General features: G+C 36.5%; 1 protein-coding gene across 1 annotated transcript in view; it reads left to right on the top strand.

Moving 5' to 3' along the window:
• MTPN (myotrophin) overlaps positions 1-18894 on the top strand; it is a 50600-nt gene that overhangs the window by 19874 nt on the left and 11832 nt on the right. Inside the window, exons 2-3 of the mRNA NM_145808.4 lie at positions 5856-5969; positions 6804-6887. Of these exons, the coding sequence (NP_665807.1) occupies positions 5856-5969; positions 6804-6887 (198 nt within the window). The remainder of the gene's footprint in view (positions 1-5855; positions 5970-6803; positions 6888-18894) is intronic.

The following is an 18894-nucleotide window of genomic DNA, read 5'->3' as shown; positions in this document are numbered from 1 at the left end:
GAAGAATTCAGGTTAGGACCAAGGAAGACTCAAGAGAAGCTAATCTCGGGTTGCCAGAATGTAATCTTAAGACCTTTCTTGGGTTCCATTTGGTTTAGAATTTCACATAGACTTTCTCCTTTCCACTATAATCTAAATCCTCATCTTACTCTTAGAAGCACCAGAAGTCAACCCATCCTAAAGCATGTTATGGTTTCTATGGTGGTTCCAGATACAGTGTATGTATTTAATTTAAACTACTCACCAGAATATACTATGAAGTAGTAGTGTTTCATATGTATGTTATGTATATACATTATATATGTTATTTAGATTACATATATGGAATATACCATATTTAGAGAAAATAATAGCTTCAAAACAACTTAGTATGTTTTAATATAATACAATCTAGGTTCTGAATTTAATAACTGACAGACTTCATGTTGCAATGAAAAGAAAGAGTTTTAAGAGTAAAGGGAAGCTTTGTATTTGCAACATGGAGACCCTTGACCTCGGCAAAAATGGTTATGGTAATAGTGTTGAGGGTGGAAGCCAAATTAGAGTGGACGGTGAAACACTGGAGATAGCAAATACAGACAATCCTTTTGTAAAGTTTAGCCCTGGAAGGGAGGAAAGAGAACAGTAACTGAAGGGCAGATGTCAAGTCCAACAAGATGTTGCTGCTGTTTGCTTTTTTAGTGGAAGAGCTGTGAATGGCACATGCTGGTGAGAAGGAGCCAATAAAACAGGAAAGGTTGAAAACACAGTCAAGAAAAGAAAGAAACATGAAGTTTTCCCCAAAAAAAAGAAAGAAGGGACGATATACAGAACATAGGTGAGGGATGGCTTTTGATAGGATGAGAGGATGAGTCAGTTCCAAGAAGGTGTGATAGAAGTTCCTGAGGGAGATCATGTCCTCTGTATAAAGAAGGATATGGGCTCATCTGCTGAGAATGAAGGGGAAGGAGGAGACAGAAAAGTCTAAGGTCTATAATAAGTAGAAGAGGTTTAAAATAGTATCTGTGGAAAGTGGAAGAGCCAGAGGAAAAGGAAAACATGGTAACATTTCCATGTGAGCTAAGGAACGTGTTAATATTGTGTATCTCTCTTCTCTATCCCCAGAATTTGGGAAAGAAAATTAGGTTTTCATTTTTTTCTGTAACTGGTAATGTTTTATGAAGTTAGAATGAAGATTACAGAATAGGTATCTTTATCTCTGCTAATGTCACTAAGGCCTAAAGTATAGGCCGGAGGCAGGGAAGAAAGGAACTATATAGAGCACTATCTTCCTTTCCTATTTCATCACCACTATTGGACCTACCACCGGTGCATCAAGACTGCTGAAAACCTGGTGAAATTGTCATTCAGCACCCCCCTAACCATGGGATCTGCAGATAAAGACAGCTTTAATTCTTCCTTTTCGAAATGGATGCCTTTTATTTCTTTTCATGCCTGGTTGTACTGATTAGAACCGCTAGTGCAACATTGAAGTGGTAAGAACAGACATCCTTGTCTTATTCCTGATCTTAGGAGGAAAGCATTCAGTCTTTCACCAATTAAGTATGATCTTAAATGTAGGTTTTTTGTAGGCCAAGGAAGTTTCCTTCTTATCCTAGTTTGCTAAATTCTGATGACAAATGCATATTGGGTTTTTTTTTTTTTATAATCCATTGAGATGGTCAATCATATGGCTTTCTCTGTGTTAAAATGGTAAATTATATTCACTGACTTTTCGAATATTAAATCAACCTTATTCCTGGGATAAACCCCACTGGTCATGGTATATTATCCTTTTTACATAGTGTTGGATTACGTTTGCTAAAATTTTGTGTAAAATTTTTCCATCACTTGTCATGAGGAATATTGGCATACAGTATTTTCTTATAACATCTTTGTCTTGTTTTGGAATCAAAGTAATGCTGAACTCATAGAATGAGTTGAGATAACATCCCATCGCTTCCATTTTCGGGAAGAGTGGGTAGAATTGGTATTATTTCTTCCCTTAAATGTCTGGTAGAATTCACAGTGGTGCCATCTGGAGTCTGAAGGTTTCTTTGTGGGGAGGTAATCTGTTGTCCAATATTGGCACTTTGTATCTTCGCTCTTTTCCTGATGACGTTTGCTAGAGGCTTATCAGTTGTATTGATCTTGAAGAATCAGCTTGTGATTCCTCTCATTTTTCTGTTTTCTGTTTCTTTGATTTTTACCCTGATCTTTATTCTTTTCTCTTGCTTATTTTGGATTTAATTTTTTTTCTAGTTTCTTATGATGGAAATACAAAGATTATTCATTTGAAATCTTTCTATTTTTCCAGTACAGGCATTTAGTGCTATAAATTTCTCTATAAGTACTGCTTTGCTAAGGCCCTGCTGACAAGGATTTTTTTCTGTCAGTCACACAAAGCCTTTTCAGTCTCATCGTCTTTTTGTCTGCTAAAATAAGAATTGTAATGTAAATGTCTGAAGGAATAAAGGAGAAAATTTAAACTCACAACTCCATTTCATAGGCATTTTGCACTGGTATTAAGAGTGCAAGGGAGGATATAACATTTTTTATTTTTTGAGATGGAGTCTCGCTCTGTCACCCAGGCTGGAGTGCAGTGGCGCAATCTCGGCTTACTGCAAGCTCTGCCTCCCAGGTTCATGCCATTGTCCTGCCTCAGCCTCCCAAGTAGCTGGGACTACAGGTGCCCACCACCACGCCCAGCTAATTTGTTGTGTTTTTTAGTTGAGACGGGGTTTCACCGTGTTAGCAAGGATGGTCTCGATCTCCTGACCTCGTGATCCTCCCGCCTCGGCCTCCCAAAGTGCTAGGATTACAGGCGTGAGCCACCGTGCCCAGCCCTGAAGGATGTAACATTTTTGGTTCACAGAAGTATCTTTGACAAAGATCTTATTGATGATTTATTGCACTTATTTATTTGCTTTGTCTCACTCTAAAGACTCGTCCAGTTAATCCTGTCTAGCTAATATTAACAGAAAGGAAATGTTAATAATGGGGGGCAAACTAATTTTATCTGAATTGTTAAGCATTCTTTGCCTCAACAACATTTTTGTAGTTGTGAATAAAGACTAAGGTGGTATGCTAGTTCGCCCTTACTATTTAAATTTGATTTTGAATATAAAGCATGTTACAATAAATAATATCTTTAATTATTCATATTTCAACCATTATGCAGAAACCTGCCTTAATCCTATTTTGAATAATCTTTTGTCTAGTATAAGCCAGTACCAGGAATCCACAAAAATAATAGTGAACCTTTATTAAATATAATAGCCTTCATTAAACATTTGTTAAACAATGTGTCAGGCACTATGCTAAACACTGCATAGGTTATCTCTTCCAGTGAAACACTGAAACCCTGTGAAGTGTAGACATTTCTATTCCCATTTTACGGATAAGGAAACCAAAATTTAGAAAGTACCTGGTCTCTGGTCCCACAACTAAGTGGTAGAGTTGGAGTGCTAACCTGGTCTCCAGTGATTTTAGGCACATTATACATCCTTATATAGACATTATATATATACATTATATTACATATATACATTATACATTCCTTCTATATCCTTCTGATTTACAGGAGGCCCTGTTGTAATGCATGTATCACATATTAACTTAAGTAAACAATCATTTAGAAATTATTGCTTTGAATTATTGAAGTAGTCTTAACTTAGATTGTTTTATCATCTAATATTTCAGGTAGGAAAATGCTTTCTGATGAAACTCTTGATCCTCCAAAAAAATATATATTTGAAATACACATGTGGGCTGGAATTTGGAAACACTCTATAATTTAGTTCCCTTAATGCTTCACTGACACCATTGGTTGCTATGGTAGACAGTTGATATCACCCTTCTCTCAGAATGCTTAAAAATAAGTAAATTCATATTTGAGTATACCTATTACATACATAGATAATACTTATAGATAATAGCTAACCGTATTTCTGTTAATATTAGCTAGTGTGATATTTAAGTGCCTTACATGGATCATGTAGTTTAACCCCCACAACTCCATGAGCTGCAGGTACTGTCATCTCTGCACATAGAAAGTAAGTAACTTGCCCAAGATCTAATGGTGATGGAGCTCCTGTTCTTAACTCCCACATCATACTGTAGGAAAATATAAAGAAGAAAACATATAATTTCTACTCCCAAGGAATTTGCATTCTGTTGGGAAAGAAGGCATACACAAAGTTGTAAGGGTACCATATATTTAAATACTAACTGATTCCTGTGAGTTTTACGAGAAAGAGAGCTTGCCATTATCATGGAAAGTTTCATAGACAAAGTAAATCTTAAATTTGATTGAGGCTTGTAGGACCTATAGTATTTAAATTAATGGGAAGGAAGGAGGGAGCAGGCATAAGTGACAAAGGGGAAGGGGAGTTTGGAGGAGTTTGGAGTATGTGTGTTTGAAAGAATGGTTTATAGTGGCTGTAAAATGATAGGGCTCTGAACATCTTGATTCAGGGTATGGCTTGATGAGTTGACCAAACTATGCTAAGTGAATAATACAATTGTTGAGAAAATAAACTTTGTCTGAGCCAGGGTCTCACTCCTGTCACCCAGGCTGGAGTGTAGTGGCAGGGTCATGGCTCACTGCAGCCTCAACTTCCTGGGCTCAGGGGATCCTCCCACCTCACCTCCCAAGTAGCTGGACCACAGGAGCATGCCATCACGCCTGGCTAATTTTATATTTTTAGTAGAGATGGGGTTTTGCCATGTTTCCCAGGCTGGTCTTGAACTCCTAGGCTCAAGTGATGTACCAGTCTTGGCCTCCCAAAGTGCTGGGATTACAGGTGTGAGCCACCACACCCGGCTGAGAGAATATAGGATGTTTTGCTCCTCAGTAAAATCTGAACTCTCCTAAGAGGGAAGGGGCAAATAGCGAATTAGAAACAGCATGTTGGTACAGAAAGAGAATGGGTTTAAATCTCTACTCTGTTACTAACTGAACCACAGTAAAAAGTTATTTAACCTCTTCAGCTTTAGAGTTTTCATGTATTAGATGGAGGTTATTCTCTTCTTGGGGTAGTTTGAAGATTAGAAATAATGGGTGTATCACAGTGCCAGATGTATTGCAGCTGGTCCATAGCGAAGGTAGTCATCATTTTTAGTCTCTGTTAATCTTCAGTGAATGAAAATGACTTTTTTGGACTTAAGTTCATTTTTCTGGCACTATACCTCCATTCATCACCAGGATTGTCATGTTCTTCTGAAAGCCCTGAGTTCCATTTTTTGTAGCACTTGTATTTTGAAATTATATGTTTAATTATGTGATTATTAATATCTGCCCCCCAACCCCAGACGGTAAGCTTCATACAGTCAGGAGTCATGTCTGATTTTGCTGACCACTGTCTTCCTACTGTCTAGCACAGTGCCTGCTACACAATTGGGCTCTACTGAATGTTAAATGAAATAAATTCTTAATACCTAATACTGAAATTACATTGTGATATTGATGGCTGCCTACATCAAAGTGGGAATACTTTCTTTGAAGAATTAAAATACATGTAATATGAACTGTGTAAAATCTCAGTGCTTGAACTCACTAGTCTTCTGTGGTCACATATTGACACTATGCTGATTGAACTCCTTAGAAATGGAGGACAGTAATGTATTTCGTTATATTTATCATTATTGTATATTGTTTTCAGCTTAACTAATTGTGGCTTGAATTTCCATCATACTGTATGTTAACTCTTGTGCAGAATTTCATTTCAAGTTTTTGGTTATTTTATTTTGCAAGAAATGTTAATTGTTTCATGAAACTCTCACGGCTTTAAGAAAGTAAAAGTATCAGGTGCCTCATTTCACTTCTTCAGTCTTCCATTCATATAAATATTGTTTTCATTTGGTTTTCTTATCAGGGAGAAGATGTCAACCGGACACTAGAAGGTGGAAGGAAACCTCTTCATTATGCAGCAGATTGTGGGCAGCTTGAAATCCTGGAATTTCTGCTGCTGAAAGGAGCAGATATTAATGTACGTAGAGGACGTGATCATTCTTGAAAAAATTTTCTGTTAATATGCTATGGGTAATTGTTTTCTATAGATTATAAAATAGCTATTTGTAGAAACTTCATTCTAAATAAGAATACAGTCTGAAATTATGCCAAATTGCCTATAACTTAGATATACAGTGGTGGGATTTTTAAAAATAAGCCAAAAAAGCTGACTTTTTTAAGCTGACAAAAATTGAAGGTTAGTATGTTTCCCCTGTGGCTGTTGCTTTTCAAGTTCTAAAGCTTGGGGAGTTAGCACTATCTGTGGGTAACAAATGGCTATGATGTAATACAGCATAGGACTCTGCAGTCATAGGCTAAATCTAAAATGGATTATTGGACAAAGGTCAATGGGCAAGTGGTCAGATAAGCGCAGTCATCTCCCAACTTTAGCCTTTTGTAGCTTCTGTATTTCAGGGGATGCCATGCTACCCGGCCCTTTTACCTCCTCTTTGGCTGTGTTTTACCCCTGTTTTCCCTTACTGGACCACACTGGCATTTCTACAGTTGTGGGGAATCAAGGCTTAGAGAGGCTAAATAATAGTACCATAGTAAGTGGCAGAGCCAAGATTTGAGCTGAGGTCAAAGCCCTGCTCCCTATGCTCTACTACTATGACTCCTAAGGAAAGACATTGCTCGTGGGCTTGGGTCTCTGGTAGCTTTAAGAGACTAGACACTTGACTCTGTGGATTGATTGATTGATTGATTTTCTAGAAAGGCAAATAGGTAAATCTAGAAAGAGTTTTCTAGTTAAAACTAGAAAGTAGGAAGAAATGAAAAACAGATAAAGTTATCTCTGTTTATTATTTCATAGGCTCCAGATAAACATCATATTACTCCTCTTCTGTCTGCTGTCTATGAGGGTCATGTTTCCTGTGTGAAATTGCTTCTGTCAAAGGTGAGGTCAATTGCTAATAGTATTGCTTTTTCTATTACTGTGTTTAAGCCAAGTATTTGATTGTTAATTTATTTGAATTTTGTGTGGCAGCAGGGACAGAAAACTGGAAGCAATATACAAAATTGAAGTGTAGTGTTACTCAAAATAGCTGGCCCATAAACTGTTACCAGTTTGTGGTAGGTAAGGAGCTTGGGTGAATATAAATCAGCAGTCTTCTTTGTCAAGAAAATATTTTACACACACACACACAGAAACCAGCTTGAAATAACCATTGTACTTGATGATATAGAAGAATGTCATTTTGGACAGTAACACTTTGTGGACTGGCACCAGGTTCATACACCATGCTTTGAGTAGCACTGGTTTGAAATGTATATGTTTCATTTTCTGGAATACATACCGAGCAAAATGGTTAGAGGTAGTTTGCTGTTAAGTAAGGACTCTCCAAGTTATCTGGTTTCTTGATATGCTTGAGATAGTGGTAAATTTGGAGTTTTCCTACCTTTTTTGTCTTTGCTATTATAAGCCCTTAGATGGAGTTCAAAATCCAGACTCAGAAATTAACCATTTAGTTGCCGCCATTCTAGCTGTATTAGATGGATCCTACAGATGTTGGAAAGCAAGAAATCTTCAGAAAATATTACCAGTTACAGTATTATCACTAGTATTTAATCCCAGCCTTGTCATTTTATGACCATACTCTGGAAAGTGTTGTTTATAATATTTCATTTGGGATCTTAAGCCCTACTAAAAGAAGCAAGAGAAAAACAGAAATGAGTAGATGTATATAAAGCATTTTGCCACAGTGCCTGATACATAGTAAGCACTCAATAAGTAGTAGCTTTTATTATAACTAAGGCTGAAGAGGATTTTAATGCTTTGTAGTGTCAGCTTCAGTAAGATACGAAGAAAATTGGGAAAGAAGATAGCACATTTATCTCTTAACACTTTATTGACAACTTTGTAAAGATATGGTTCTAAAAGCAGTTAATTTGGGTCCTCTAAATAGAGCTAGGGTTTTTTCTATCCATAGCTTCATGTTAACCACAATTACTGGATTTCTTTAAATATGTTTGTTGTTGTTTGGGTTTGGGTTATATATCAAGAGCAATTTTTATACCTTACTGATAAGAATGATGCATTTGTCCAAAAGCCAAAATAAATGGAAATATTACTCTTTGCCGCTAGTGGATCCAGCATCTGTGATAGGGTGTGCTCGCAAAGATTTCCAGTCACTGTCTTTCTCTTTACTGTTCATCCCTCCCCAAGATCTGCGAAAGGATTACAAAGTACCTTTGAATACTGCTAGATAATTTCATCCCTGGGAAATATTTTTGCTTACTGTATCAAAAACAGATTTGCTGTTTATGAAAGATTTATATAATTTCAATATTGTATTAGTTAGGACTCTGTCTTGCAAGTAACTGAACCCAGCTCAGACAGGCTTAAACAGTAAAGAGATCTTATTAATTTATATAACTGTACAGTTGAGGCACAGCTTGACCCTGGATTTAAGACACATGACCATGATCTGATTTTTTTATTTTTATTTTTGGCCTGTCCCAGGTCTCTTCCTCAGCATTGGCTTTATTTCCATGGCTTCAGCCTATCTGCTAGCTCTCAAAAGAAATGGAGGACTCCCTCCTTACCCTTCGTTCCCGCCTTTTCCCTGACCTTTTTTTTACCCAGCCAAGGGTTTTGTTCTCTGAAAATAAAAACCTCCATGGGATCATTTTTTGCTTAGGTCCCTTGTCATTTACTAAATGAGCTGCCCTAAATGTACTCTTTCCTTCTAACCATATCTCAAACTGTAGATCAGAACAATTTTTCTTTGTGTTAGACCTCTCTGTCCTCCTAGGAAAAACAAAACAGGATATATTTTTTATTCTATAGAGAACCCAAACCATTGTTCTGTACTCCTTATTCCCAAAACATGAGGCTTCAGGTCATTGAGACCTTGTGGTTGTAAGTTTCCGTTGTTAAAGAGTTGAAAACATTAAATGAGTTCCTGAAAAGTTGGCTTGATTTGCATGTACATTAGGCCCTAAGATGTCATCCCAGAAGGTTCTCTGTGTGTGTACTGTGTTGCTAAATTATTGATTGTGAGTTGTCTTACTTTTAACTAGTTTGTTTTTTCTTTTGCTTATGCCCATTTTGTTCTTTTGTGTCTGAACCTTGACTTTTTTTAGCCAAATAAGTGACATTTGGAGATAGCTATGTTGGTAGCAGACCGTTTGTAACCATGTAGAGCTGTTGTTTTATATGAAAGAGATTTTCTTCTTTTTGAAATCAGCATAGTACATTTTAGTTCTGCTTTTTCAAAATTAATTACTTTGATTTTATTATTGCATAAGCTTCTTTAATGGATACCCTGTAGTTTTGTTAGGCAGATTTTTTTTGAAAATTGATTATACTCTTTCAAAAATTCTTAGTTGCTAAAATAGAGTTGTTCCAGTGCATCTTTTAAAAGTTATAATCAGTGTTTATATTAAGTCTAATTTGTTCTGCCTTTTATCAAAAGTAGAATTCTTATGGATTATTATGAATTCACTTGAAAAGACTTGGTTTAAGAACTTTCCAGATTCATTGACATTTCCAATACATTATCCAGTTGATTTATCCTTAGCATACGAAAAAAGGCAAAATAATAAACAGGGATTTAGAAACTCAGTATGATCACAACTAATAGGGGAGAAATCAGAAAAACAAACATGATTGCTAGAATATTTGAAATCAAACTTTATATGATATGCTGTATCATTTATAATTTATTATAAACCCAAATACTTAGGTATTATTATCTCTCTTTTATGGATAAGGAAACCATTTATCTCGGGGTGGTCTAACTGCTTGAAAGTCAAATACAATGTAATGGAATCAAGATTTGTTCCAAGATGTAGGATTCAGCAGCCTGTGTTCTTACTATTACTTGAAATTGCCTTTCAGAAGTACTGTCAGGTCAGTTAATGAGAAATGGAACATGTACATATCTGCAGGTAAAAAGACTTGTGGCCTCATTTTTAATTGGCAAGCTGGTAAATGAGAAAAATGTAGAGATCAACAGATGAGAGGCTTCCATTTCAAAGTTTAGGTGTGAGCACATTCTGTGGTGTTCTCTTTTTGCCCCCAGTGACAGAAAAGATGTTTTTAAAGTGAGTTGATCAGTATCTGCTTTGGACCAGAAGAATTGGATCCATCAAACAAGAAATGATAAGGAAACCTTGAAAGACAGAAAACAAGCAGGGTAGGGCCAAAGAAGAAATTCCCAAATAAGAGCAAGAGAGTATTGTTGCAAAAGGCAAGAGCTGATCCAAGGCCACGCCCAGAGGTGCCTAGTACCCCCAAGCAACAAATGGAGTGACAAGTTGGATGCACTTCAGGAAGAAGCAAATTAAACCCAAAAGGAAAGACTGAGATGCAAGAAGGGGAATGATAAGTAAGAAGTTAGTGTGAATTAGTATGTGAATAACTCTAAACAAATATTTAACACTGAAGTTTTTAAAAAATAAGCTAGAACCAAATAAGGTAAATAATATGAGATGATCAAAGCTTCTGGTATTTTCACCAAATCCAGAGTACCTGAGAAACATGGTAAAACTAGCAAGAAGAAACAAGGGAAAGGAGGCAGATAATTAATGCAGGCTCAAGAAGCATCCTTGAAGAGGTAGCAGCAGCAGAGGAGTGAGAGTGTGAAGAAGCTGATGTGAGTGTATGAGACAGACACTCATAATAGAAAAGTAGCAACTGACCAGTACAGCAGTCTGTGGAGAGGCCAAGCCCAATGCCTGTTTTTATCAAAGCAATAATAGGCAGCCTGTATAATCATGTGTCATTTAGAATTATAATTATCTCAGTGAAATAAGGTTCCCCTTTATTTGCCCTAAAAAATCTTAACCAGGAAATTTTTGGAATGAAAAGGATATTTAAAAGGTGGTATTAAAAAGTCCTTCAGTTCAAAAGTTGGCAAACTTTTTCCTAGGCATACCCTTTTTGCGAAGGCATGCCTTTGCAAACTACATGGTCACTGATGTAACATTGCCATAGACAATACATAAACGGATGGGCATGGCTGCATCCCAGTAAAACTTCATATACAAAAACAAATATCCAGGCCATGTTTGCCAACCCCTGCTCTAGCTCATAAATAGTTTGGAATTTATAAGGCACATCGTTTTAAAACCCTAACCCTCAGTGGTAAGATGATGCTTCCCTAAGTGCTACAAGGTGAGTGTGTATCCTTCTGGATGCTTTTATTAGACTATGCTAGCACTTATTTTTGAAAAGATTTTTTAATGTAGCCAAACAAGAGTTTATAGGACACTTATCTGGGATATTCACTGTTCATTACTAAACTGGTCTTTCTGATTAAAATCTTAAACACTTGAATAATAGCAAGGTTGCACAAACACATTAGAAGGGGGCTAAACATGAAATCATATTCTTGAATAGTATTAGCTGATGGACTTTCCTAAGTTCAGAGTTCATTTACAGTAGTCCCCCTTTTCTGCAGTTACCCATGGTCATGGTGAGTACATTACTAAGATACTTTGTGAGAGAGACACCACATTACCATAACTTTTATTACAGTTAACTTTTATTAGCATGTTATAGTTGTTCTATTTTATTATTATTATTTCTTCCTGTGCCTAATTTATAAATTAAACTTTATCATAGGTATGTGTGTATAGGAAAAAACATAGTGCAGTCATGTGCCATATAATGACGTTTCAGTCAACAGTGTGCTTATGGAGATGCTGGTGTAAACAAACCTACCTCACTGCTGGTCATACATAATGCTTGGTAATGACTGTGTTATATGTTTATGTATTTACTATACTATGCTTTTTATTCTTATTTTAGACTAGAGTTTCTTCTACTTATTAAAAAAAAAGTTAATGTAAAAGAACTTCAGGCATGTCCTTCAGGAGGTATTCTAGAAAAAGGCATTTTTATCATACGAGTTGACAGCTCCATGTATTCTCTTGCCCCTGAAAATCTTCCAATGGGACAAGATATGGAGGTGGAAAAAGTGATATTGATGATCCTGACCCTGTGTAGGTCTAGGTCTAGGCTCGTGTTTGTGTGTATGTTAGTTTTCAACAAAAAAGTTTTAAAAAATTTTTAATTAGATAAAAACTTACAGAATAAGAATATAAAAGAAAATATTTTTCTACAGCTGTGCAGTGTACTTGTGTTTTAAGCTAAGCTTTATTACAAAACAGTCAAAATGTTAAAGACATTTAAAAGTTTATAAAGTAAAAAAGTTACAGTGAGCTAAGGTTAATTTATTGCTGAAAAAAGAAAATTTTTCTTATAAATTTAGTGTAGCCTAAGTATACAGTGTTTGTAAAGTCTATAGTAGTGTGTAGTAATGTCCTAGGCCTTCACCTTCACTCACCACTCATCTCACTCAGAACAACCTCCAGTCCTGCAGGCTTCATTGATGATGAGTGCCCTATACAGGTGTACCATTTTTATCTTTTATACTGTATTTTTACCATACCTTTTCTATGTTTAGATACACAAATACTTACCATCGTGTTACAGCTGCCTATAATATTCAGTACAGTAACATACTGGATATAGGTTTGTAGCCTAGGAGCAATAGGCTATAACATATATCCTACGTGTGTAGTAGGCCATACCATCTAGGTTTATGTAAGGACACTCTATGATGTTCACACAATGATGAAATTCCCTTGTTAAGTGACATGTGGCTGTATATATTAGGGTTCATTACTGTCTGTGGTTTCAAGGCATCCATTGGAGGTCTTGAAATATGTCTCCTACAGATAAAAGGAGACTACTATATTTTTCACAGTTACATATAATTGGACATCTTAATATAGTTTTGACAATTCTGTAAGAGAAATAATAGTAGTTTGCCTGTAGTATTAATACACTATCATGTGGCACATTTATTTTCATTTTATTTTATTTATTTATTTTTTTGAGACAGAGTCTCCCTCTGTCCCCCAGGCTGGAGTGCAATGGCGTGATCTCGGCTCACAGGTTCAGGCACTTCTCCTGCCTCAGCCTCCCAAGTAGCTGGGATTACCACACTCAGCTAATTTTTATATTTTTAGTAGAGACGGGGGTTTTGCCATGTTGACCAGGCTGGTCTCAAACTCCTGACCTCAGGTGATCCGCCTGCCTCGGCCTCCCAAAGTGCTGGGATTACAGGCGCGAGCCACCACGCCTGGCCTCATGTTGCACATTTCTAATATTAACATAATACATATAATATTGAAGATTATATTTTCTATAATACTCATTAAAATTCCATATAATGTACATAATTCCTTATAATTTTAATAAAGAACTTTAAGAAGTTCAGTATTCCTAATCCTAAGGAATACTATTTCTAAATAATCAACTATGGGGTATTGTGGGGAAATATCCTAATTATTTACTTCTTTTATCAATCATTTAAAGATGTTATATTTGCTATAATTTAGAATTTAGACAGATAAGCTTTCAGTCATTTATGCTGGTGTATTTACACTCCATGCCTTACATGGTATATACTGCTATTAAAAATGACCTCTCAATCGCCTATAGAAATACGAATTCTTATAAATAAATAGAAAAAGTTATACCCCAGCATGAGAGAATCAGAATCCCATGAGTTGAGAATTCAATGAAAGTTTCAAAACATTGCAGTTTTATTCTTAGATTACAAAAATAATCTGACAGCATACTTAATTTGTTATTATAAGCTATCATTTTGTTACTAGTGATATTTAGCACACTGAGCTATACCTGAGAGGAGAAAGCCCAAAAGAACTGCTTTTTTGTTTTCCTTTTTTTCTCTGCTTCTGTGTCAAAAGAATTTATCTCCTCAGGAAGCCAACTCTAATCTTACAACAACAACTATATATAATATACCACTGATGGTTATGCAGCGCTAATTTTAGTGACTCAGCTGTTTCAGACCACTCTGTAAGTTAACTATTCCTGGCTTGAGAACAAAGGTATACTCAACTGCATTCTTATTTAAAGGAAGTCAAAATGTTTTATGTTTTATGTATAATTGCTATAGAGATTTAAAAATACTGAAATTCAGTCTGCTGAGGAAATAGAAAAAACCATCTTGTCTGGTAACATTCATGTTTTTGATAAATGTATTTTCTGTGCTTTTTCTTTTTAATCACGTAGCCAGTTAGTAAAACTTGAATATCCCTCTCAAGTATCAGCATTGTTGACTCCTCAGGGAAGTGTCTGTGGTGCAGAATTGCTACTTGAATTGGGAATCAAATGTGTAAGATATAAGGGCTGAAAGTTAGCCCTTTTTAGCATAAGCAAATTGGCGTGCCTGCAGGCAGAACAAATATTTACTTGAATTACTATTTGTTACTTGAATTACTACCATACCTCCAATAAAATCTGAATAGCTTCAGATATTCCCCCACTCACATTTTAGGATTATTTGGAACCCCAAAATTCTGTTCCATATAACATGGTCAAGTTGGGTTTCAAAAAAGTTTTAGGACTGGTCTTCCTCAAAGAGCTCAGCAGTGCCTTACTGAATTGTCTTATTTTTAAGAAACTGTGTCATAAAGGGCCTACCAGAGTGATATATCTACAAGATTTACCCCATAAATAACTGAAGAACCAATTGTTAGACTGTTTTGATAGGTTTCACAAATCTCATACACAAGTATGCCCACGGTGTAAGTTCATTGTCGTTAACTGTTTAGCTCTTTTAGACTACAGCACATCATTTTAGCTTCTGTTAGTGATCTGTGCTATGTGCTGGGGTGCCACACACCTACACACACACAAGTTTAGTTCTCAGTTCTGCTTAATAACTCTGGGTTTGAGCAAGTTTCTTAATATCTCAGCCTAAGCTTTCTCTTCTGTAACATAGGCCTGTATTTATCACATAGAGTTGATATGAGGATAAAATAGCTCACAGTTAAATGACATTTCCTATGTACAAGTACAGTTTTGAGGGCTTTGTGTATATTAACTTATTTAATCACCGTAGTAGTCTTATAAAATATTTTTTTAATCCATTTTACCACTGGGGAAACAGAGGCACAAAATGATTTAGGAAATTTGCCCAGCATCACACAACTAGCAAGAAGGGGAATTGGAATTCAAATCCAGTCAATTTTGCTCTAGAGCCTGTGTCTGTAACCATTACATTATACTGCCTCTCAGTATAGCCAAGTACTCAAGTGAGATAATGTGTATAAGCCACTCGCTGAAATGCCGAGCACATCATGAGTTCTCAGCAAGTACAAAGACTTTAGGATTGATGTGCTTCTCAGGAAAGGAAAGACTTGCTGTAGGAATGAGGGTTCCCTGAAGAAAATTAACTTTATGAGAAGAACTTTCTTTCAAGTGTGGACATACTTTTTTGTCTGAAACTTAGGATGTACCACCTTTTAAGTAATATAACAGCGGCCGGGCACAGTAGCTCACGCCTGTAATCCCAGCACTTTGGGAGGCCGAGGCGGGCGGATCACCTGAGGTCAGGAGTTCGAGACCAGCCTGGCCAACATGGTTAAACCCCATCTCTACTAAAAATGCAAAAAAAAAATTAGCCGGGCGTGGTGGCAGGTGCCTGTTATCTCAGCTACTCAGGAGGCTGAGGCAGGAGAATAGCTTGAACCCGGGAGGTGGAGTTTGTAGTGAGCTGAGATCATGCCATTGCACTCCAGCCTGGGCAACAAAAATGAAACTCCCGTCTCAAAAAAAAAAAAAAAAAAGTAATATAACAGCTCAATATGTGACTGTCCTTGAAGAGGAGTAATTTGAAGGCTCGTTTGTGCTTTAGCCCATCCTATTTCCATGATGAATTTTTCTCTGAAACCTTGAAATGATCTTTCTATTCATGTTAAATATGATTGCTATAGTGATATTAAAATCATATTTTTACTAGGGGTACCATAAGAACAAATCCAAGACCATTATATATGCAACTGAAAATGAACTATAGTTAACTGTGTTCAAATAAGGAATAAAACGAAACATAAAATGTCTCATTGCTCACATGTGTGTGAGTCTCATTTGTTAGTTTTTGTCATTTGAGTAAGTTTGAGCAGCTGCTTGGAAAACTTGAAGTACCTGCCTCTTTAGATTTTAATTGACATTTTAAGAATTGAATTTTTGGAAAAGTTAAAGAGATGAGACAACAGCATCAACACTTAACCCACTTGGTAAATTAAAGTTCTCAACAAATGCTTTGGTTCATATGACATTCCCCATTGTTGGAGAAGCAGAGTGGTGCAGATAGAGGAGCTTGGCAATGAAGTTAGTAAACCTAGATTTAAGGCCTGGTTCTGTAACTTCATAGCTAGTAAATCACTTGACATCTGAACTCAGTGGGTTTAATAGTATTCATACCCCAGGATTATTCTGAGAATCAAAGAAGGTAATGGTCTTTCCTATTTTTAGTACTTGCCACACTATTTATGAAATATATGAGAACTAGTCTCTGATTCTCCCTAATGCCCTAGAACAGTGGGCAACAAACATTTTCTATTAAGGGCCAGGTAGTAAACATTTTCTGTTAAGGGCCAGGTAGTAAACATTTGGGGCTTTCTGTGCCTTATGGTCTCCATTAAAGCTTCTCATCTCTGCCACTGTGATGCAAAAGCAGCCATAAGCAACATGTAAATGAATGAGCCTAGGTATGTTCCAGTAACATTTTATTTACCAAAGCTGTATCTGCCACTTAATAGAAACTCAGTAAAGATTCACAGAATGGACTTGTGAATTGAGTGTCTATGAAAAGATGCTGTGGTGTCAGAGTGTGCAACAGATGACAAGTCATATGTGTGCCATCCCACAGTTCTTTTATTTTCTGTAAGATACAAATAAGCTGCAGATATCTAAAGGTAATAAATTCCAAAATCTAGTCTTGTCCCTAACATTTTGGGGGGAGAGGCCATGGGTAATTTTCAACTAAATGTGGTATAGAATACAAAATTTGGAGTCAGATGGTTCTAGTTTTCGTATTTGTTGACTGACCTTGGGCAAGTTTCTTAACTGAGCTTGAGAGCCTGTCTACAAAATGGAGTTAACAATGTCCACTTCAGGGGACTGCTGTGAGAAACATGTGGTTACATATTTTTACTGTTACATTAAAAACTCAAAACTGCTACGAAAAATGTAAGGGAGGTAACAATCACTGTGTTTTGTATTATGTTAGACCTTATAGGTCTAGTAAAGACCAGAAATTGTCTTTACTCTGTCTCCTGTATCAATATGTAAATTAAATATGAAATTAAATGTGCTATGAAATCATCCTGCACCAGTAGATAAAATTGCAAAGTATGTATAATTGTAGGTATTTGAATAATTTTTAATGTCACTAAATACCAAATCCATTTTTAGTAGTTTCCGAAATTGAATCATATGTTTAAGTTCTATGGTAATATTTAAGTATATATTTAAACAGTGTAAGGTTTTCAGATTCTGAACATTTTCTCATAGTACCATGGAACTACAAACAGTTGCCTCAAATCATGAGATAATGGAGTTCTTTGTGAGTATAGTAGTTTCTCAAGACTGTTCTAAAATGCATATAAATTGATTCAAAATAATTGACAGTATTCTTTCTAATGATACAGTAGTACATACTTAGACAAGATAGTATTTTTAAAAAAATAATTTTTCCTTTTAATTTGGATGCTTGTGTTCACTAAGGGTAATATTTCTGTTACTATGACCCAGATGTGAATTTTTTTCATTTAATATTTATTGAGCATCTGCTGGCTACAAGGCATTATCCTAGGTATTAAAGCTATAGGGACAAATATAACAGGACCCCTTCCTTCATGGAGCTCAGCCTAATTTGGGGAAGACATACCTGTTAATGGTTAATTACAGACTGTGGTAAGTTCCCTAAGAAAGGTGGAGTTTAGCCATGAGTAACAAAAACCCTTACTACAATGATCTAAACGAGAAAGTCTGAAGATGTGCAGTCCAAGGCTAAGTGACTGGCTCCGCTGTGTATGTTGTTGATATCCCACACTGGGCACCCGCCCCACGCACCCGCCCCCCCCCCCCGCCCCCATTTTCCCCAATCCTTATGGTCACAAGATAACTACTGAACCGCCAGGCATTGTGTCTGTTGACAACAGGAAGAGGGGGGAAAGAGCTAAGGCCAAAATTAGGTCAGATAGTCACCTGTAGCTTTAAGGGAGTCTGAGGATTTCACTTATTTTCAACCTCTGTAGTAGAGGAAAGCAAAGAAGAACGGGTTGGAAGTGGGTTGTGTCAGATGCTGAGTGAGCTACAGTACTGACCTGTGATCTCCAGGGCACCAGCTGCCTGGGAAATCCCAGCAGGCTTCACAGAGAATCTAACAATTGAATGAGAGGTAATTGGGTGGTTCCAGGGAAAGAATAAAGAATGTCTTTGATGCTTTACGTTTTTCGAAGTCTTCATGAGACATTTAATATCAAAAGGAAGTACACACTGTATTCATTTAAATACTGGGGATATAGGAGTTAACAAGGTAAACAGATCCTCCGCTCTTGGACACCTCATTTTCTAGAGGGAAGGCAGAGTAACACCTCATTTTCTAGAGGGAAGGCAGAGTAAACAGGTATACCAATAAATGTAACTTAATTTCAGGTAGTAACAAGTACTGTGGGGGGAAAAAAAGCCTTTATAAGGGTAAAAAATAACTATTTTGGATAGAAAATTTCTTAAGGGTATTATATACTTTTCTCTTAAGCAGAGTAACAAGACATGATGATTTCCTTGAAGCCTTACCAGCATCCAACCCTCGGGGGTCTGTTGAAGTTTTGGTTAATTGTCCTTACACTAGCTAAGCTTTAGCCGGGCTCAGTCTTGGTTTCTTTCTTACTATAGTCATGTCAAGCTCTTGTCAGATGTTACTGTTGTTAGTGTGACCGTCTTCAGTAGGCCTTCTCTCCTTTCTGTTTTCTGTTTCTGATTTAATTTTGACTGAGAAGGTCTGTGTTTGAAATAAAAATTTCTGAGTGAGGACACCAGCATGCTTCTATGGAATGATGAAGAGCTTGAA

Source organism: Homo sapiens, chromosome 7 (assembly GCF_000001405.40).
Source record: "Homo sapiens chromosome 7, GRCh38.p14 Primary Assembly".
NCBI lineage: Eukaryota > Metazoa > Chordata > Mammalia > Primates > Hominidae > Homo > Homo sapiens.
The sequence above is the reverse complement of the archived record's forward strand: the minus strand, read 5'-3'. Positions and strand labels throughout refer to the sequence as shown.